The following is a 17,050-nucleotide window of genomic DNA, read 5'->3' on the forward strand; positions in this document are numbered from 1 at the left end:
TGAGGTTGTTTTTATTAAAGGCAGTAATTTTTGAAATAGTTAATGCAACTGTTGCTAACACAATAATAGGACTCCTGGCCTCACATACTAACCTGGACTTCTGATCAAGTGCTAATTAGCCCAGTAAGGGAGGTCACCAAAAACTACTAGGGCAGTCAGTTGTGGCTGTGGGGAATTATTCTACTATTGGGGACTGAATGCAACAACTTTATTACTATTATTATTTTAAGAGGCAGGGTCTCCATCTGTCACCCATGCTGGAGTGCAGTGGTGCAATCCTAGCTCACTGCAGCCTAGAACTCCTGGGCTCAAATGATCCTCCTGCCTCAGCCTCCCAAAGTGCTGCCATTATAGGTGTGAGCCACCATGCCTAGCCTGCAATGACTTTATTACCAGGAATAAAAATATAATTACCAGCAGTTACAAGGGTTCATTCATAGTAAAGAAAAGTCTAAGTGTAGACTCTTAAATAAGCAGTTCAATGTATTTGAAGGAGATCTGAGTATTAGCCAGTGTGTTTTTCTATAAGTACTTTCCTTGTCAATGAAATCACTACTAATAAACATTTATTAGTTATAAATTTAAACCAGGAATAATAGCATAAATAAACTATGTTGGCTGCAGTGGCTCACACCTGTAATCCCAGCACTTTGGGATGCCAAGGCAGGTGGATCACCTGAGGTCAAGAGTGAGACCAGCCTGGCCAACATGGTGAAACCCCATCTCTACTAAAAATACAAAAATTAGCCAGGCATGGTGGCGGGCACCTGTAATCCCAGCTACTCAGGAGGCTGAGGCAGGAGAATTGCTTGAACTCAGGAGGCAGAGGTTACAGTGAGCCCAGATCACGTCATTGCACTCCAGCCTGGGTGACAAGAGCGAAACTCTGTCTCAAAAAAAAAAAAAGTCTGAACTACTGCTAAAGCCAAAGTTAATGTTTGGTGTTAGCATTTGTTATGCACATAATTATTACAGGGGCACCAAATCCTGGTTTTGCTCAGTTAAGGGCAGCATCCATGGGCATCCTAATTGATGGGTAGAAACCTCCAAGAGATTAACAGTGTAATACAGATAATCCCCAGCATCCATAAATGATTCAGGAGTAGAACCTGATTGTTACCAGAGCAGAGCTTTTTTTTTTTTCTTTGATAAAGGAAAAAGTTCAAAAAAATTCTTCCTCAGAAAAAAATTATAAATCAGAAATGGTCAAATACTAACTAATACTTTTTCTGCACTTGGTGTTATAAGTATTCAAATACATCTATTGAGGGAAAAAGACTTTTTTAAGAAAAGTATCATGTATGAGAAAGAAAATTAGCTGTTGGGGACAAACAGAGTAATGGTATGGGAAGTGTCCTAGAGGGTCATTCACTGTAAGTGGCAGCTGAGGGCATGTTCTTCAAGCATGTACCTCTGAGGGCAGTGTGCCCTTTGATAATGTGGTCACTTTTTTTTTTTTTTTTTTTGAGACAGAGTCTCACTCATCGCCCAGGCTGGAGTGCAGTGGCACGATCTCGGCTCACTGCAAGCTCCGCCTCCTGGGTTCACGCCATTCTCCTGCCTCAGCCTCCCGAGTAGCTGGGACTACAGGTGCCCACCACCATGCCCGGCTAATTTTTTGTATTTTTAGTAGAGACAGGGTTTCACCGTGTTAGCCAGGATGGTCTCGATCTCCTGACCTCGTGATCCGCCCGCCTCGGCCTCCCAAAGTGCTGGGATTACAGGCGTGAGCCATCGTGCCCAGCCATCACTTTTAAATTGTTTTACCTAAAGGTGGATTTCTAGTCTTCTGTTTCTGAACTAAGCCTACCACCAAAAAATATGGAATTCCAGTAAAACTGAACCCTTCAAATATTAGCCTGTATGCATTCTGACCTTCTTAGCCATAGATGGTTATCAGCGGTAAGAAAGAATTGACTTGACAAGGAGTTTTTCTGTTTAATACCTGCCTATTTTCTGTTTACTGTATCATTGTTCTGTGTAGCAACAGACCTGTAAACCACACAGAGGATACTGGAAATAGCACATTTTCAATAATTCTGTGAGCTTCTTTTTTTTCCTTTTTCTTTTCTTTTCTTTTTTTAATTACACTTAAGTTCTGGGATACATGTGCAGAACATGCAGTTTTGTTACATAGTACACATGTGCCATGGTGGTTGCTGCACCCATTAACTTGTCATCTACATTAGGTATTTCTCCTAAAGCTATCCCTCCCCTAGCTCCCCACCCCCTAACAGGCAAGCCCCAATGTGTGATGTTCCCCTCCTTGTGCCCATATGTTCTCATTGTTCAACTCCCACTTACAAGTGAAAACATGCAGTGTTTGGTTTTCTGTTCCTGTGTTAGTGAGAATAATAGTTTCTAGCTTCATCCATGTCCCTGCAAAGGACATGAACTTGTTCTTTTTTTATGGCTGCATAGTATTCTATAGTGTATATGTGCCACATTTTCTTTATCCAGTCTATCATTGATGGACATTTGGGTTGATTCCAAGTCTTCACTATTGTGAATAGTGCCGCAATAAACATACGTGTGCATGTGTCTTTATAGCAGAATGATTTATAATCCTTTGGGTATATACCCAGTAATGGGATGGCTGGGTCAAATGGTATTTCTAGTTCTAGATCCTTGAGGAATTGCCACACTGTCTTCCACAATGGTTGAACTAATTTACACTCCCACCAGTAGTGTGAAAGCATTCCTATTTCTCCACATCCTCCCCAGCATCTGTTGTTTCCTGACTTTTTAATGATCACCATTCTAACTGGAGTGAGATAGTATCTCATTGTGGTTTTGATTTGCATTTCTCTAATGAAGACCAGTGACGATGAGCTTTTTTTCATGTGTTTGTTGGCTGCATAAATGTCTTCTTTTGAAAAGTGTCTGTTCATATCTTTTGCCCACTTTTTGATGGAGTTGTTTTTTTCTTGTAAATTTGTTTAAGTTCCTTATAGATTCTGGATATTAGCCTTTTTTTTTTTTGAGACTGAGTTTTGCTCTTGTTGCCCAGGGTAGAGTGCAATAGCACGATCTCAGCTCACCACAACCTGCACCTCCTGGGTTCAAGTGATTCTCCTGCCTCAGCCTCCCAAGTAGCTGGGATCACAGGCATGCGCCACCATGCCCAGCTAATTTTGTATTTTTGGTAGAGAAGGGGTTTCTCCTTGTTGGTCAGGCTCGTCTCATACGCCCGACCTCAGGTGAACCGACTGCCTCGGCCTTCCACATTGCTGGGATTACAGGCATGAGCCACCGCGCCCGGCCTGGATATTAGCCCTTTGTCAGATGGACAGATTGCAAAAATTTTCTCCCATTCTGTAGGTTGCCTGTTCACTCTAATGATAGTTTCTTTTGCTGTGCAGAGGCTCTTTAGTTTAATTAGATCCCATTTGTCAATTTTGGCTTTTATTGCCATTGCTTTTGGTGTTTTAGTCATGAAGTCTTTTCCCATGCCTGTGTCCTGAATGGTATTGCCTAGGTTTTCTTCTAGGATTTTCATGGTTTTAGGTCTTACATTTAAGTCTTTAATCCATCTTGAGTTAATTTTTGTATAAGGTGTAAGGAAGGGATTTGGTTTCAGCTTTCTGCATATGGCTAGCCAGTTTTCCCAACACCATTTATTAAATAGGGAATCCTTTCCCCATTGCTTGTTTTTGTCAGGTTTGTCAAAGATCAGATGGTTGCAGATGTGTGGCATTATTTCTGAGGCCTCTGTTCTGTTCCATTGGTCTATATTTCTGTTTTAGTACCAGTACCAAGCTGTTTTGGTTACTGTAGCCTTGTAGTATAGTTTGAAGTCAGGTAGCATGATGCCTCCAGTTTTATTCTTTTTGCTTAGGATTGTCTTGGCTATACGGGCTCTTTTTTGGTCCCATATAAAATTTAAAGTAGCTTTTCCTAATTCTGTGAAGAAAGTCAATGGTAGTTTGATGGGAGTAGCATTGAATCTATAAATTACTTTGGGCAGTGTGGCCATTTTCACAGTATTGTTTCTTCCTATCCATGAGCATGGAATGTTTTTCCATTTGTTTGTGTCCTCTTTTATTTCATTGAGCAGTGGTTTGTAGTTCTCCTTGAAGAGGTCCTTCACATCCCTTGTAAGTTGTATTCCTAGATATTTTATTCTCTTTACAGCAATTGTGAATGGGAATTCACTCATGATTTGGCTCTCTGTTTGTCTATTATTGGTGTATAGGAATGTTTGTGATTTTTGCACATTGATTTTGTATCCTGAGACTTTGCTGAAGTTGCTTATCAGCTTAAGGAGTTTGGGGCTGAGACAATGGGGTTTTCTAAATATACAATTAAGTCATCTGCAAGCAGAGATAATTTGACTTCCTCTCTTTCTATTTTAATACCCTTTATTTCTTTCTCTTGCCTGATTGCCCTGGCCAGAACTTCCAACACTATGTTGAATAGGAGTGGTGAGAGAGGGCATCCTTGTCTTGTGCCGATTTTCAAAGGGAATGCTTCCAGCTTTTGCCCATTCCATATGATACTGGCTGTAGGTTTGTCATAAATAGCTCTTATTATTTTGAGATACGTTCCATCAATACCTAGTTTATTGAGTGTTTTTAGCATGAAGGGGTGTTGAATTTTATCAAAGGCCTTTTCTGCATCTATTGAGATAATCATATGGTTTTTGTCATTGGTTCTGTTTATGTGATGGATTATGTTTATTCATTTCTGTATATTGAACCAGCCTTGCATCCCAGGGATGAAGCTGACTTGGTCGTGGTGGATAAGCTTTTTAATGTGCTGCTGGATTCAGTTTGCCAGTATTTTATTGAGGATTTTTGCATCGATGTTCATCAGGGACATTGGCCTGAAATTTTCTTTTTTTGTTGTGTCTCTGACAGGTTTTGGTATCAGGATGATGCTGGACTCATAAAAAAGGGAGGAGTCCCTCTTTTTCTATTGCTTGGAATAGTTTTAAAAGGAATGGTACCAGCTTTTCTAACTACCATCAGAGAATACCATAAACACCTCTACACAAATAAACTAGAAAATCTAGAAGAAATGTGTAAATTCCTGGACACATATACCCTCCCAAGACTAAACCAGGAAGAAGTTGAATCCCTGAATAGACCAATAACAAGTTCTGAAATTGAGGCAGTAATTAATAGCCTACCAACCCAAAAAAGACCAGGATTCACAGCCAAATGCTGTGAGCTTCTAAGGATAGTGGTTATGTTCTGCTCACTGACTTCTCCCTAAGGCAACTGGGTGGCCCTGTGTTGGGGGTGGGCACAAATACTTAATGATGGTGATGATTTTGCTTAATTTTGGCCTCCATTTTGAGTTATTGTGTGTTCGTCTTGGGTTAGGATGAAGATTGCAATGAAAAGAATGGCTGCCATGAAAGTGAGCCATCAGTGACGACTGAGGCTGTGCACTACCTATACATCCAGGTGAGGTCGTGGTGTGTAGTTAGGTGACACAGCAACACCCAGTAGTGGCGGGTGGGCCTGTTTCAGGGTATTAGAACAAGATAATGGACAGAGGAGGGCTTATTGCCACTACCAAAGATTAATTGGCCGAGAGGATTACCATATGGAGGCCCTTTTCCCCAGCCTTGAACTCATGCTTTCCTGCCACATATCAGGAGCAGCCACAGGGCAGCTCTGGGCTCAGGCTGTGTAAGTTCACATCCTGGATCCACCTGTTAGGACTGCATGAACTCGGGCAAGGTTCTTCAGCATCTTGTGCCTCAGTTTCCCCATCTATAAATTACATAATAGTAGTTCTTATAGACTTGTAAAGAATAAATAACATGTGAAGTACTTAGAACCATATCTGAGTTCCATAAGTGCTAGACTGCATGAGCACAGAAACTCTACTTTGCCTAACCACCTGAATCTGGACAAGTAAGATATGATGTGCACACATGCCTGTACATGCAAAAGTAACACCAAGGTGACTTTAGGCAAAGTGGCTTGACCAGGAACCTCTGGAGACCAGTGCACAGGCAAGCCAGTTCCAATGGGGCATGACTGAGAAGTCTGAGCTTTGGCCTGCCTACCTGCCAGAGCAACAACATCCTAAACAGGGGTGAGTGGGCTCTTCCAGTAGAGGAGTGGCCATAAAACAAGTTGGCCGGGCACGGTGGCTTACGCCTGCAATCCCAGCACTTTGGGAGGCCGAGGCGGGTGGATCACCTGAGGTCAGGAGTTTGAGACCAGTCTGGCTAACACAGTGAAACCCCGTTACTACTAAAAATACAAAAAATTAGCCAGGCATGGTGGTGTGCTCCTGTAATCCCAGCTACTCAGGAGGCTGAGGCAGGAGAATCACTTGAACCCAGGAAGCGGAGGTTGCAGTGAGCCGAGATTGCATCATTGCACTCCAGCTTGGGCAACAAGAGTGAAACTCTATCTAAAAAACAAACAACAACAACAACAACAAAAACAAAGAAGTCTTTCCTCTGCCCCAAGGGAACAGGACTGTGGGTCACTGTTAGTATTTCAGTCATAACTGCAAGCAGGCAGATCTTTAAATGTGAGATACAGAACTGGGCAGAAAAAGGAACCCTCGACAAGTTACAGCATTTTGAATGAGATGAATTAGGTATTTGCTTTCCTGGAGTTGGAGCTGGTTTTAGGTATTCCGTAACATAAATATCTTTGAGGTACCACTTACACAGATAATAAAGCATTGGTCCCCCAAACCACTGTTTATCCTCTATTATATTCCATTACCTTCTACACAATTAGAATGAGATAGAAGTACACAAAGGAGGTGCATCCGACATGCATCAGGATCACGGTGTGGGCATCAGAGGGGGCCTTGTGAGGCCCGGAGGGTGAACCAGAGTTTACTGACAATTATTCCGAAGGTGATAGAACAAAGTCTGGTCTTCCTCTCTTTAAAAACAATAAAACCTTTCTTCGTGAGAAATCTCAACTCTGGCACTAGTTGAAGCATATAGGCTAGTTTCATAAATCAAATGGTGCATGTTGATTTAAGATTTAAGTCATGTTGCACTGTTTTCTGATATGTGAATACACTCAAGAAGGGGTGAGACAGAGCCCCTGTGTCACTGTCCCAAGAAGACTTGAATGTTTTAATATTTATAATATTTTTCTCTAAACTTGAAGGTCATTTGTGTTTAATGTAAGAAAAGCTAATGATATAATTAGGTTAACTAACCCTCCTTGTAAATTTGGGTTTGGAAGCGATCTTGTAAAACAATAAATAAAATTTTACAACATTCTCAGTTTTTTATGTTAATTGTGATAAGTATTTTAAACAAGTCATATTTTTAAATGAGCAATAATATAAAAAATTAAAAATGGTTATGTTGGAGTGCCAAGAGTATGCATATTTACCCCCAAGGTATTTTTTAATACTGTTGGTTTCTTTTTCGTGTAGAAAACCAAGTCTTTCCCCTAACCGTTTAAAACCCATGGTACACGTTTTAAAATGGAGGATTATGTAAATTGCAGTTATACTCCTTCACTTAAAACTGTTGTGTAATCAAATTCTCCTGGTTTGTCTGTATATAGATGGAGTACTGTGAGAAGAGCACTTTACGAGACACCATTGACCAGGGACTGTATCGAGACACCGTCAGACTCTGGAGGCTTTTTCGAGAGATTCTGGATGGATTAGCTTATATCCATGAGAAAGTAAACTTTACAACATTTCATATCTGAAGACTTATGTTTACATAAATTTATGACTGCATAAAAATATCAAATGTAAGATTGGAGAAAAACTGAAATAGAGGGAAAGCTATGGGTATATTGACATAATCTATTTTTGTAGGAAATAGAACAAAGTGTCAAAGACAATAAAGTATTACAAAGTATCAGAGTATAACATTAAAAAATGTTAAGAAAACTTTAAAGGTTAGGACAGGGATCAGCAAACTGTGGCCCACAGGTCAAATCTAACCCACTGCCTGTTCTTGTATGGCCTGTGAGCTAATAATGACTCCTATATTTTTAAATGGTTGTAAAAAATTAGAAGAACATTTCGTGACACATAAAAATTACATGAAATTCAAATGTCAGTGCTCCCAAGGTTATTGGAACATAGCTATGCTCATTGGTTTACATATTGCCTATGGCTGTTTTTTTTCCATACCAGCAGATTTGAGTAGTTGCAACAGGGACTGTAAAGCCTAAAGTATTCACTCTCTGGCCCTTTACAGAAAAAATTTGTTAACCTCTGGGAGAGGAGAAAGTATTTGAACATGTAGGGAATATGAGGATGATTCCTTGAGTGCTTTAGAATTAGGGCCAGGTGCGGTGGCTCATGCCTGTAATCCCAGCACTTTGGGAGGTCAAGATGGGCGGATCACTTGAGGTCAGGAGTTCAAGACCAGACTGGTCAACATGGTGAAACCCCATCTCTACTAAAAATACAAACATTAGCTGAGTGTCGTGGTGCACACTTGTAATCCCAGCTACTTGGGAGGCTGAGGCAGGAGAATCACTTGAACCTGGGAGGTGGAGGTTGCAGTGAGCTGAGATTGTACCACTGCGCTCCAGCCTAGGTGACAGTAAGAGACTTCATCTGAAAAAAGAGAAAAAAAGAATTAAGCAAGGATGTGATTAATACCTGCCAAGTTACTTGATTCTAACTGAATTAGTGCCACCCTTCCTAGGAACACGGGGAAACCAGAAGGTCATCTAGCAAGAAGAGAAATGAGACTTTCTGAGTAACTTAGCTTGTCGCATGTCTAAAATGTCATTTTAAAGCTAGAAATTGCCATTATAATATAAATGCTAATGGGCCTAGCTTCAGGATGAAACACTGCTTACATTTTTAAAATGAGATTGTCTAATGCATTAACCAATATAAATTCATTATTTTTTTCCTTTGCCTCAAATTTCTTTAACCTTAAAATGTTTGTACTGTACCGTATTTATACTGAGAAGCAAGGGCTGTAATTTACACATGTGTAGTTTGTAAATGATTTGGTAGAAGCAGAATTTGCAAGGTTAGAAATGAAAATGAATTCTAATGAGGGCCATTTAAGCTGTATTACTGTGATTTTATCCTGGGATGCTAGAACAATGCCCCCTGTGCTCTATTCCACTCCATCCAATTTGCTCAGTATTGGCTAACCATTTGCTGGCATCTAACACTGTGCCATACCTGGAAATACAAGGAGGCACAAGTGTGTGTCCCGTGCTTGAGAGGGACTTCTTGCTCTTAGAGGGACCCAGAATTTACCTTCATGTAATGGTAAAAGAGATCATTATTTTCTCTATTATAATGCATGAAACAATACAGATTATGAGCCATTAGGAAAATGAGAAAGCAGTCTCATGTAACAAGTAATTGTTGCACACCTACTGTGTGTGCTGGGGATGCCAAGTTGAACTGTTAGAATTACTGTGGAAGGCTCATGAATGAGTTGGCAATTGCAAATGTTGGTATAGTGCAAATGCATGGAAAAAAGCGAGTATCCTACGAAGGGGAGAGGGTACAAAGAAAGGAATAGAAGAAGGAATAAAAATGGTGTGTCTCCCTGACCAGAGGAGAGGTTTTGTAATGCAGCAGAGGTAAGGGTAACTTGGTGAACCCAGTGGAAGGGGCCTTGGATGCCACAGGGAACTATTTAGAATTCACCTGGTCAGGATACCACCAGGTAGAACTAGGAAACAGTAAAGAGGTCATAGGACAGTCAGGACATATTGCAGAGGCCAGACAGCCTGGACCAGGGTGGTCTGTGGGAGAAGACCTCATACGATTTTCATCGCTAGGTTGGCCTTTTAAATTAGGAAGTAGGTATAACTTTATGCATGGAAAACCATTGTTTGTTTCTTCACTCTCTTTCAACAGGGAATGATTCACCGGGATTTGAAGCCTGTCAACATTTTTTTGGATTCTGATGACCATGTGAAAATAGGTGATTTTGGTTTGGCGACAGACCATCTAGCCTTTTCTGTAAGTATTTTAAAAATTAGACTGTACCTAAAAACAGACTCAGATGTCTTGATAATCCTGGAAGTGTTAGCGGATAGAATAGTGCGTTCACAGAACTATGCCGTCTAATCCTCAGGAGATTATACAAACCTGAAGGGGTATGCTGCAAATGATCTTGTAGGCTTTGCAATTGTGAGTATATTTTTTTGAGTGCATTCCACTTGAGGGACACAAAATTATTGGCTTGGGAACAATATTGTGGTCAAAGGTGTACAGTACTTTATGAAATCATTTGGTATTTTGGTCTACCATGCCTGGCACTGGGCTAGATGCTTTATACCTCAGAGGCTTTTGTTGGTTTGGGGAAATGAGGCTCAAAAACGTAAAACACCAGGAGACCATACAGTTGTAAGGCTCAAGAAAGGCTGGATAACGACAGTGGCATTTCAGATGTCCTTAAATGGTGGTTGGGAGTCCAACAGGTGGAGGTTGAGGGCAGGGCCTGGTGGCCCCAGGGTGGGAATTCCAGAGAGAGCACAGCATAAGCAGAGGCCCCGGGGTAAGCAGACTTGGCTGTCGGAAGACCAGCATACTGTCTGACTGGTCGAAACTGTGAGGTGCAGGGGAGAGTAAGAGGATGCGGGGCAGTTGAGGAGTCACTGGAAGGTTGGGCAGTCTTGTAGGTGGTAGGCTTTGAATGCCAGAGGAGGAATTTTGCTTCACATTATAAACCCAAGTTATTAAGCACCAAGATCTGTGGGAAATGCAGTTAATTCCAAGGGTGATCAGGAAAGGAAAATAGGATTTGAGTTAATGGTGAGAATAACCACTGGGGCCAAGTTAGAAGGTGAGACTAGGAGTGGAAAGGGAGGAGAGGGAAGGCAGACAGTACGGACAGGGTCCCGATCATGCTCCCCATGGAGTATATGGGAGAGTGCTGAGACCAAGGACGGGCCAGATGGTGGGGATCTTGATCCCCAAACTAAAGAATTTAACTTGATATCTGGAAGGCTGTAGCATAGTGAGATAGATAAGAGCTCAGGCTCTGGAATCTCACTGACCTGGACTAGAATCCTATCTCTGCCACTGCTTTGTAGCATGATATTGGACAATTAATTAACTTCTCAATACCTCATTTGTAAAGTGTGCCTAATACTAGTGCCTAGCTGAAAAAGTTATCAGGAAGATAAATAAGAATGCAGGTAAAGCACCTAGAACAGTGCCCAGCACTAAGAATGTTGAAGCCGGTGTTACTGATGGTGATGCTTGTAATGGGAAGCACCTATTACAAGTGCAGACATAACAATAGTGACTTAGGGTATTGACAACACTGTTGCACATAGTGGAGCAAGGTGAGGCTACCTGGGGGGCATTAGCCATGAGCGAGGGTGGAACATATTTGCTGAGCAGCCTCTAGGAAAGAAGAATAAAAATTGATGCAGAGAAAGTAACAGCAGTGGGTAAGTTGAAAGATGAATTTGTTGTTTTTAATATAATCTTACTCTTCTTAGAAAACAGATTCTGTTTTTGGCATTTGCAACATGAAAATAAATTGGTTTCTCTAAGTGTTTGCATATTTCTGTCCTAAAGAAAGAGTTGTACAGTGATTGCCCCCCTCCCTCTTGATTTCATTGGGTTTTCTGAGAGCCTTGCATTAGTGGGTTAACTAAACTAGAAAAAAAATTAAAACTCAAAGCGTTATTATATTATTTTGATTTCCATGTAATATTTCCTCAGTCTTCATTTAGAAACAGACAAGCCATTCTCATGGAATAATATCATGTTTTAATTGGATATTTGGCTTACTTATATTTTTAGGCTGACAGCAAACAAGACGATCAGACAGGAGACTTGATTAAGTCAGACCCTTCAGGTAAACCCAGAAGACTATATATTTCATCCATGTGTTAAAGACCCCAGAATTTCTTAACCTGAAACCTGTTTTTTACTTGTAAAGGTTTTATTCTACGGCAGATTTTAATTGCTCCTTAAGTTAACAAAATTATGGAAACGTTTTAATCTTTTTTTCCTTTTCAATTTATGAATTATTCTTTGAACTTTAAGAAATTAGAGCTTCAGTGAGTAGAATAATTGGCTCCCAGGGGTAGACAGTTTTATTTTGTCTAACCTCCATTGGTAATGTGAGGTTACCTCATGACCTGATCCATCTGGGGTCTTATCTGGCACTGTCCCTCCTCTTCAATAGCAAAGACATCCTTGTGTAGAACCGAATGTGTGGCCATACGTGACTTATGGTTATTCATTTGGTACAATGCATGCTCTGCTTCCTGTGAGTGGCATAGACAGTTAACAGATCATGCCTCACTTTTAAGAAACCTTTTTTTGTTTTTAGTTTGTGTCTTCTGTAAGTGCTATTATTGGGACGTTTTCCCTCTGTTTTCCTCCACACAGGTCACTTAACTGGGATGGTTGGCACTGCTCTCTATGTAAGCCCAGAGGTCCAAGGAAGCACCAAATCTGCATACAACCAGGTAAGAGGTTTTGTGGGGAAAAGGAATCTCAAAATTAAGGTAATAGGACATCTAGATCACAGCATTTGGGATTTAGTCCCGGCTAAAATAGTCAAGACATCCACTCATTCACACTCCAGGAAGGACTCATGGTCCTAAGGATAGTGACTGAAACTGGCACTGCTGCTGCCAGGAGCTTACAGTCCATCCATCCATCCATCCATCCATCCATCCATCCATCCATCCATTCATCCATCCATCCATCCATCCATCCATCCACCCACCCATCCACCCATCCATCCACCCACCCATCCATCCACCTGTCCATCCACCCGTCCATCCACCCATCCATCCACTCGTCCATCCGTCCGTCCGTCCATCCATCCATCCATCCAGCCATCCATCCATCCATCCATCCAAAGAATGTGCAAACCAACCCCTATCTTGGGCAAGGTGCCAGGAACAGATGTGGCTCCAGCCCTCAGGGAGCTTGTCCACTGGTGGATGAAACAGACAACAAATAAGTAAAAAATAAAAGATATAGCCACAAATTGTGGTGAGGGCTAGGAAGAAAAGAAATGGAACTGAGTGACAAAGAGAACAGATTGACCAGGGAAGATCTCTTGAGAGGATGGCATTTAGGATAAAGGATGAGAAAGGACAAGCCACACAGATTTGGGGGCTGACACATGCCAGGGAGGGAGATGGTAAGGAGCAGAGGAAACTGCACACATAAAGAGAAAGCCCTGAGTGAGAGAGACAGCTTGGCACATTTAAGACAGCCAAAAGGAAGGCTAGTGTGGCCACAGTGTGGCAAGCAACAGGGGACAGAGGCATGAAGTTAAGCTGGAAAAGAAGGCAGGGAAAGATCACACAGAGCCAGGTTGGCCTGGATAAGGAGTGTGCATTTAATTTGAAGTACACAGGGAGCCAGTGAAGAATCTTGAGCAAGAGAGTTCACTCTGGCTGCTGCGAGGAGGCTCTGCAGGAAGTCCTGGTAAGGCGGTTGGCAGCTGGAACTGGACTGCAAGCAGTAGAAATGGAGAGAAGTGTGCTGAATTAGGAAGGGAATTGAGAGATTTTCCCAATGGAAGGGATGTTGGATGAGAATTAGGAAGGGATTTGAGAGATTTTCCCAACGGAAGGAATGTTGGATGAGAATGAGGAAGGGAAAGAGTCCAGGGCTCAGGTTTCTTTCTGGAACACCTGGGTGAAGAGTATTTGACTGAAGTGAGGAAACCTAAGGACAGACATAAGAGGAAGGAGGAGAAGATGACAGAAAAATTCAGTTTGAGGCATGTTAGTTTGAAATATCTGATGAGAAATCCAATTAGAGATTTCGAGTAGATTGTTAGAGACCCAACACTTGAGTTCAGAGGAAAGGTGAGAATCAGAAGGATAAATTTGAAATCAGCACACAGATAGGATTTAAAGCTATGAGACTGGATGAGATCACTTAGGGCAAGAGTGTAAAGCTAAACTTTAAAAACACATTAGGTGCCAGGCATGGTGGTTCATGCCTATAATCCCAGGACTTTGGGAGGCTGAAGCAGGAGGATTGCCTGAGCTCAGGAGTTCAAAACCAGCCTGGGTAACATAGCGAGACCTCATCCCTACTAAACATCAAAAAAATTAGCCAGTCCTGGTGGCACACGTCTGTAGTCCCAGCTCCTCAGGAGGCTGAGGTGGGAGGACTGCTTGAGGCCAGGAGATTGGGGCTGCAGTGAGCTGTGATCATGCCAGTGCACTCCAGCCTGGGCAACGGAGCAAGACCCTGTCTGAATCAATTATATATGTGTAAAATAAAATACATTAGGAAAGCAATTTGCATCAAAGCAAATGCTCAGGCTTGCAGTGGAGATTCAAGCCTGGGTTTTGGTTCTGACAGGGAGCATTGGACAACAACATAAAGTTGAAACAGACATCTAAGTACCTGGTGAGGGTGAGGGTTAGGGTATCAGGAGATGGACTGCACACACTGTGAGTGTGGGCAGACACCTTTAGTGTCATTATTATTATTATTATTATTTTGAGATGGAGTCTTGCTCTTTTCGCCCAGGCTGGAGCACAGCGGTGGGCCATCAGCTCACTGCAACCTCCGCCTCCCAGGTTCAAGCAATTCTCCTGCCTCAGACTCCCGAGTAGCTGGGATTACAGACGCCTGCCACCATGCCTGGCTAATTTTTGTATTTTTAGTAGAGACAGGGTTTCACCATGTTGGCCAGGCTGGTCTCAAACTCCTGACCTCAGATGATCCACTTGCCTCAGCCTCCCAAAGTGCTGGGATTACAGGCATGAGCCACTGCACCTGGCCGTATATACATATTTTTTTAAAAAACCAAAGTGGGGGCATCTTAGACATCAGTAATAAATATCCCTGAGTGGTGGGATCATGAGATTGCTATTTTATTCTTGGTGCTTTTGTTCTATGTTTTCTATAGCCAACACGTATAGGAAATGCCACAGTGAATGTTTTTAAGATGTCGGAGGTCACCAGTGACAATCCAAGAGTCTCGCCGCCCCCTCTTTGAGTCCAAATGTATTCAAGAGTATTGCTTGAAAATGTTTTCCATTGTCCTGAAAGCGGCTCTACACCCTGCACCTCTGTGCCCCTGACCATGTGCAGTCTTTTCCTCGGCAGCTGTGTCATGCTCGGTTTCCTCAGATGCACTCCCTTCCCAACGCCATCTTCTCCTTCGTGGCACCCTACTTAGATTTTCTCTGCACTGACTTGCCTTTTTGCTTCTTTTTTCTTTTTATTGTAGATACTTTTTTTGTTTTTGTCAATTATTTAATAGTTATCTTGATTATTTATATCCTTCTAGTTTTTTGACTTTAGTGTTTTTTTCTGTAGCTTTTTATTTTTATTTATTTTTTATTTTTTTCCTAGCTTATGGAGGTATGATTGATGAAACTTGTCTATATTTAGGGTGTACAATGTGATGTTTTGATATATGTTTACATTGTGAAATGATTACCACAGCGAAGCTGACCGACATACCCATCACCTCACCTGGTTTCCATTTTTTGTGTATGGTAAGAACGCTTGAGAGCTACTTTCTTAGCAAACCTCAAGAATACAATGCGTTATTATTAATTATAGTCACCATGCCGTGCTTTAGATCTCCAGAATGTATTCATTTTATAACTGAAAATGCGTGCCCTTTGACCAGCACCTCCCCTTGACCCCCAGTCCCCAGCCCCTGGTAGCCATCATTCTGTTCTCTGTTACTGTGGGTTTGACTTTTATTTAGATTCTACATACCAGTGAGATCATGTAGTATTTGCCTTTCTGTGTCTAGCTTATTTCACCTAACATAATGTCCTGCAGGTTCATCTATGTTGTCACAAATGGCAAGATTCTCTTCTTTTTGAAGGCCATATGACCCTGTAGTCAGGAGCTGGCCTTTTCTATCAGCCGCAGATTTTGGTCTGTGTTTCACTTTTAAGATGGTTAGCTAAGATGTGAAACAAAGCAAATTCTTATGATCAATCTCAGTTGTCCTTGCTCTTCAGCCATTATTTCCAGTTTTCAGCCAGTGGTTTTCTATGTCTGTGGATACAACTAAACCAGTTACCATTAATTTTCTAGGAAGGCCAGGCGTGTTGGCTCATGCCTGTAATCCCAGCACTTTAGGAGGCCAAGGTGGGTGAATCACTTGAGTCCAGGAGTTGGAGACCAGCCTGGGCAACATGGCAAAACCCACTCTGTACAAAAAATACACACAAAAAAATTAGCTGGGCATGGTGGTGCACACCTGTAGTCCCAGCTACTTGGGAGGCTGAGGTGGAAGGATTGCTTGAGCCCAGGAGGCAGAGGTTGCAGTGAGCCGAGACTGCACCACTGCACTTCAGCCTGGGTGACAGAGTGAGACTCTGCCTCAAAAAAGAAAAAAAATTTCTAGGAAAATGTTTAAAGACATCATGCCAAATATTTTATCATCATCTGAATACAAAATATATCATTTAGCCTTTATAACCATAATTTTTAAGAACAAATCTTCGCATTTTTCCAGTGTGACCTGTTTTGTACTCCTACAAACTTTATTTCAGCTAACAATGCTTATCCTATAATTCCCTGGTAAATTATACTTTCATATCAAGGCTCTCTAAATGCAATTATTCTTCCCCCTCAGAAAGTGGATCTCTTCAGCCTGGGAATTATCTTCTTTGAGATGTCCTATCACCCCATGGTCACGGCTTCAGAAAGGATCTTTGTTCTCAACCAACTCAGAGATGTATGTATCAGGTGTTTTAGTGCCTACATTTTCAGTAACCGGAATCTTAGCACAGAGATCAGAATTCAAAGCAGGATATTTTTCTGGTATTTATAATATAGAAGAGGCTGCCCTACTGTAATTTTAATGACTCATTTATTCAGATATGCAAGACTAACCAGTTTTCCCATTTTTAGTGAAACATTTTTCTGAGCAAAGGAAGTCACCTCAGTTAAATTCTTAAAATAGCAGTTTTGGGAGCCAAAGATCATCAGCATGTAGGAGGGATCTTACTGGTCTCTCCACTATGTTTCCACAGTGAGGTAAATGGAACCCTACCTCTGATGATGGGAAACTTGCCCCAGTTTTGTTTGTTTTTGGAAATCTTACCTGGAGAAATTGCTAGGTTATAGTTGCTTTTTAAAAAATTATTCTGAGATTTACTCTTGATTTTAAAGCAAAGGAAGAAGCCACAAAATTGGG

General features: G+C 41.6%; 1 protein-coding gene across 1 annotated transcript in view; it reads left to right on the plus strand.

Annotated features, from left to right (window-relative positions):
- EIF2AK4 (eukaryotic translation initiation factor 2 alpha kinase 4) overlaps positions 1-17,050 on the plus strand; it is a 101,477-nt gene that overhangs the window by 46,363 nt on the left and 38,064 nt on the right. Inside the window, exons 14-19 of the mRNA NM_001013703.4 lie at positions 5,328-5,411; positions 7,506-7,628; positions 9,796-9,900; positions 11,698-11,752; positions 12,292-12,371; positions 16,487-16,588. Of these exons, the coding sequence (NP_001013725.2) occupies positions 5,328-5,411; positions 7,506-7,628; positions 9,796-9,900; positions 11,698-11,752; positions 12,292-12,371; positions 16,487-16,588 (549 nt within the window). The remainder of the gene's footprint in view (positions 1-5,327; positions 5,412-7,505; positions 7,629-9,795; positions 9,901-11,697; positions 11,753-12,291; positions 12,372-16,486; positions 16,589-17,050) is intronic.

The sequence above is a fragment of the Homo sapiens genome, chromosome 15, assembly GCF_000001405.40.
Source record: "Homo sapiens chromosome 15, GRCh38.p14 Primary Assembly".
Taxonomy (NCBI): Eukaryota; Metazoa; Chordata; class Mammalia; order Primates; family Hominidae; genus Homo; species Homo sapiens.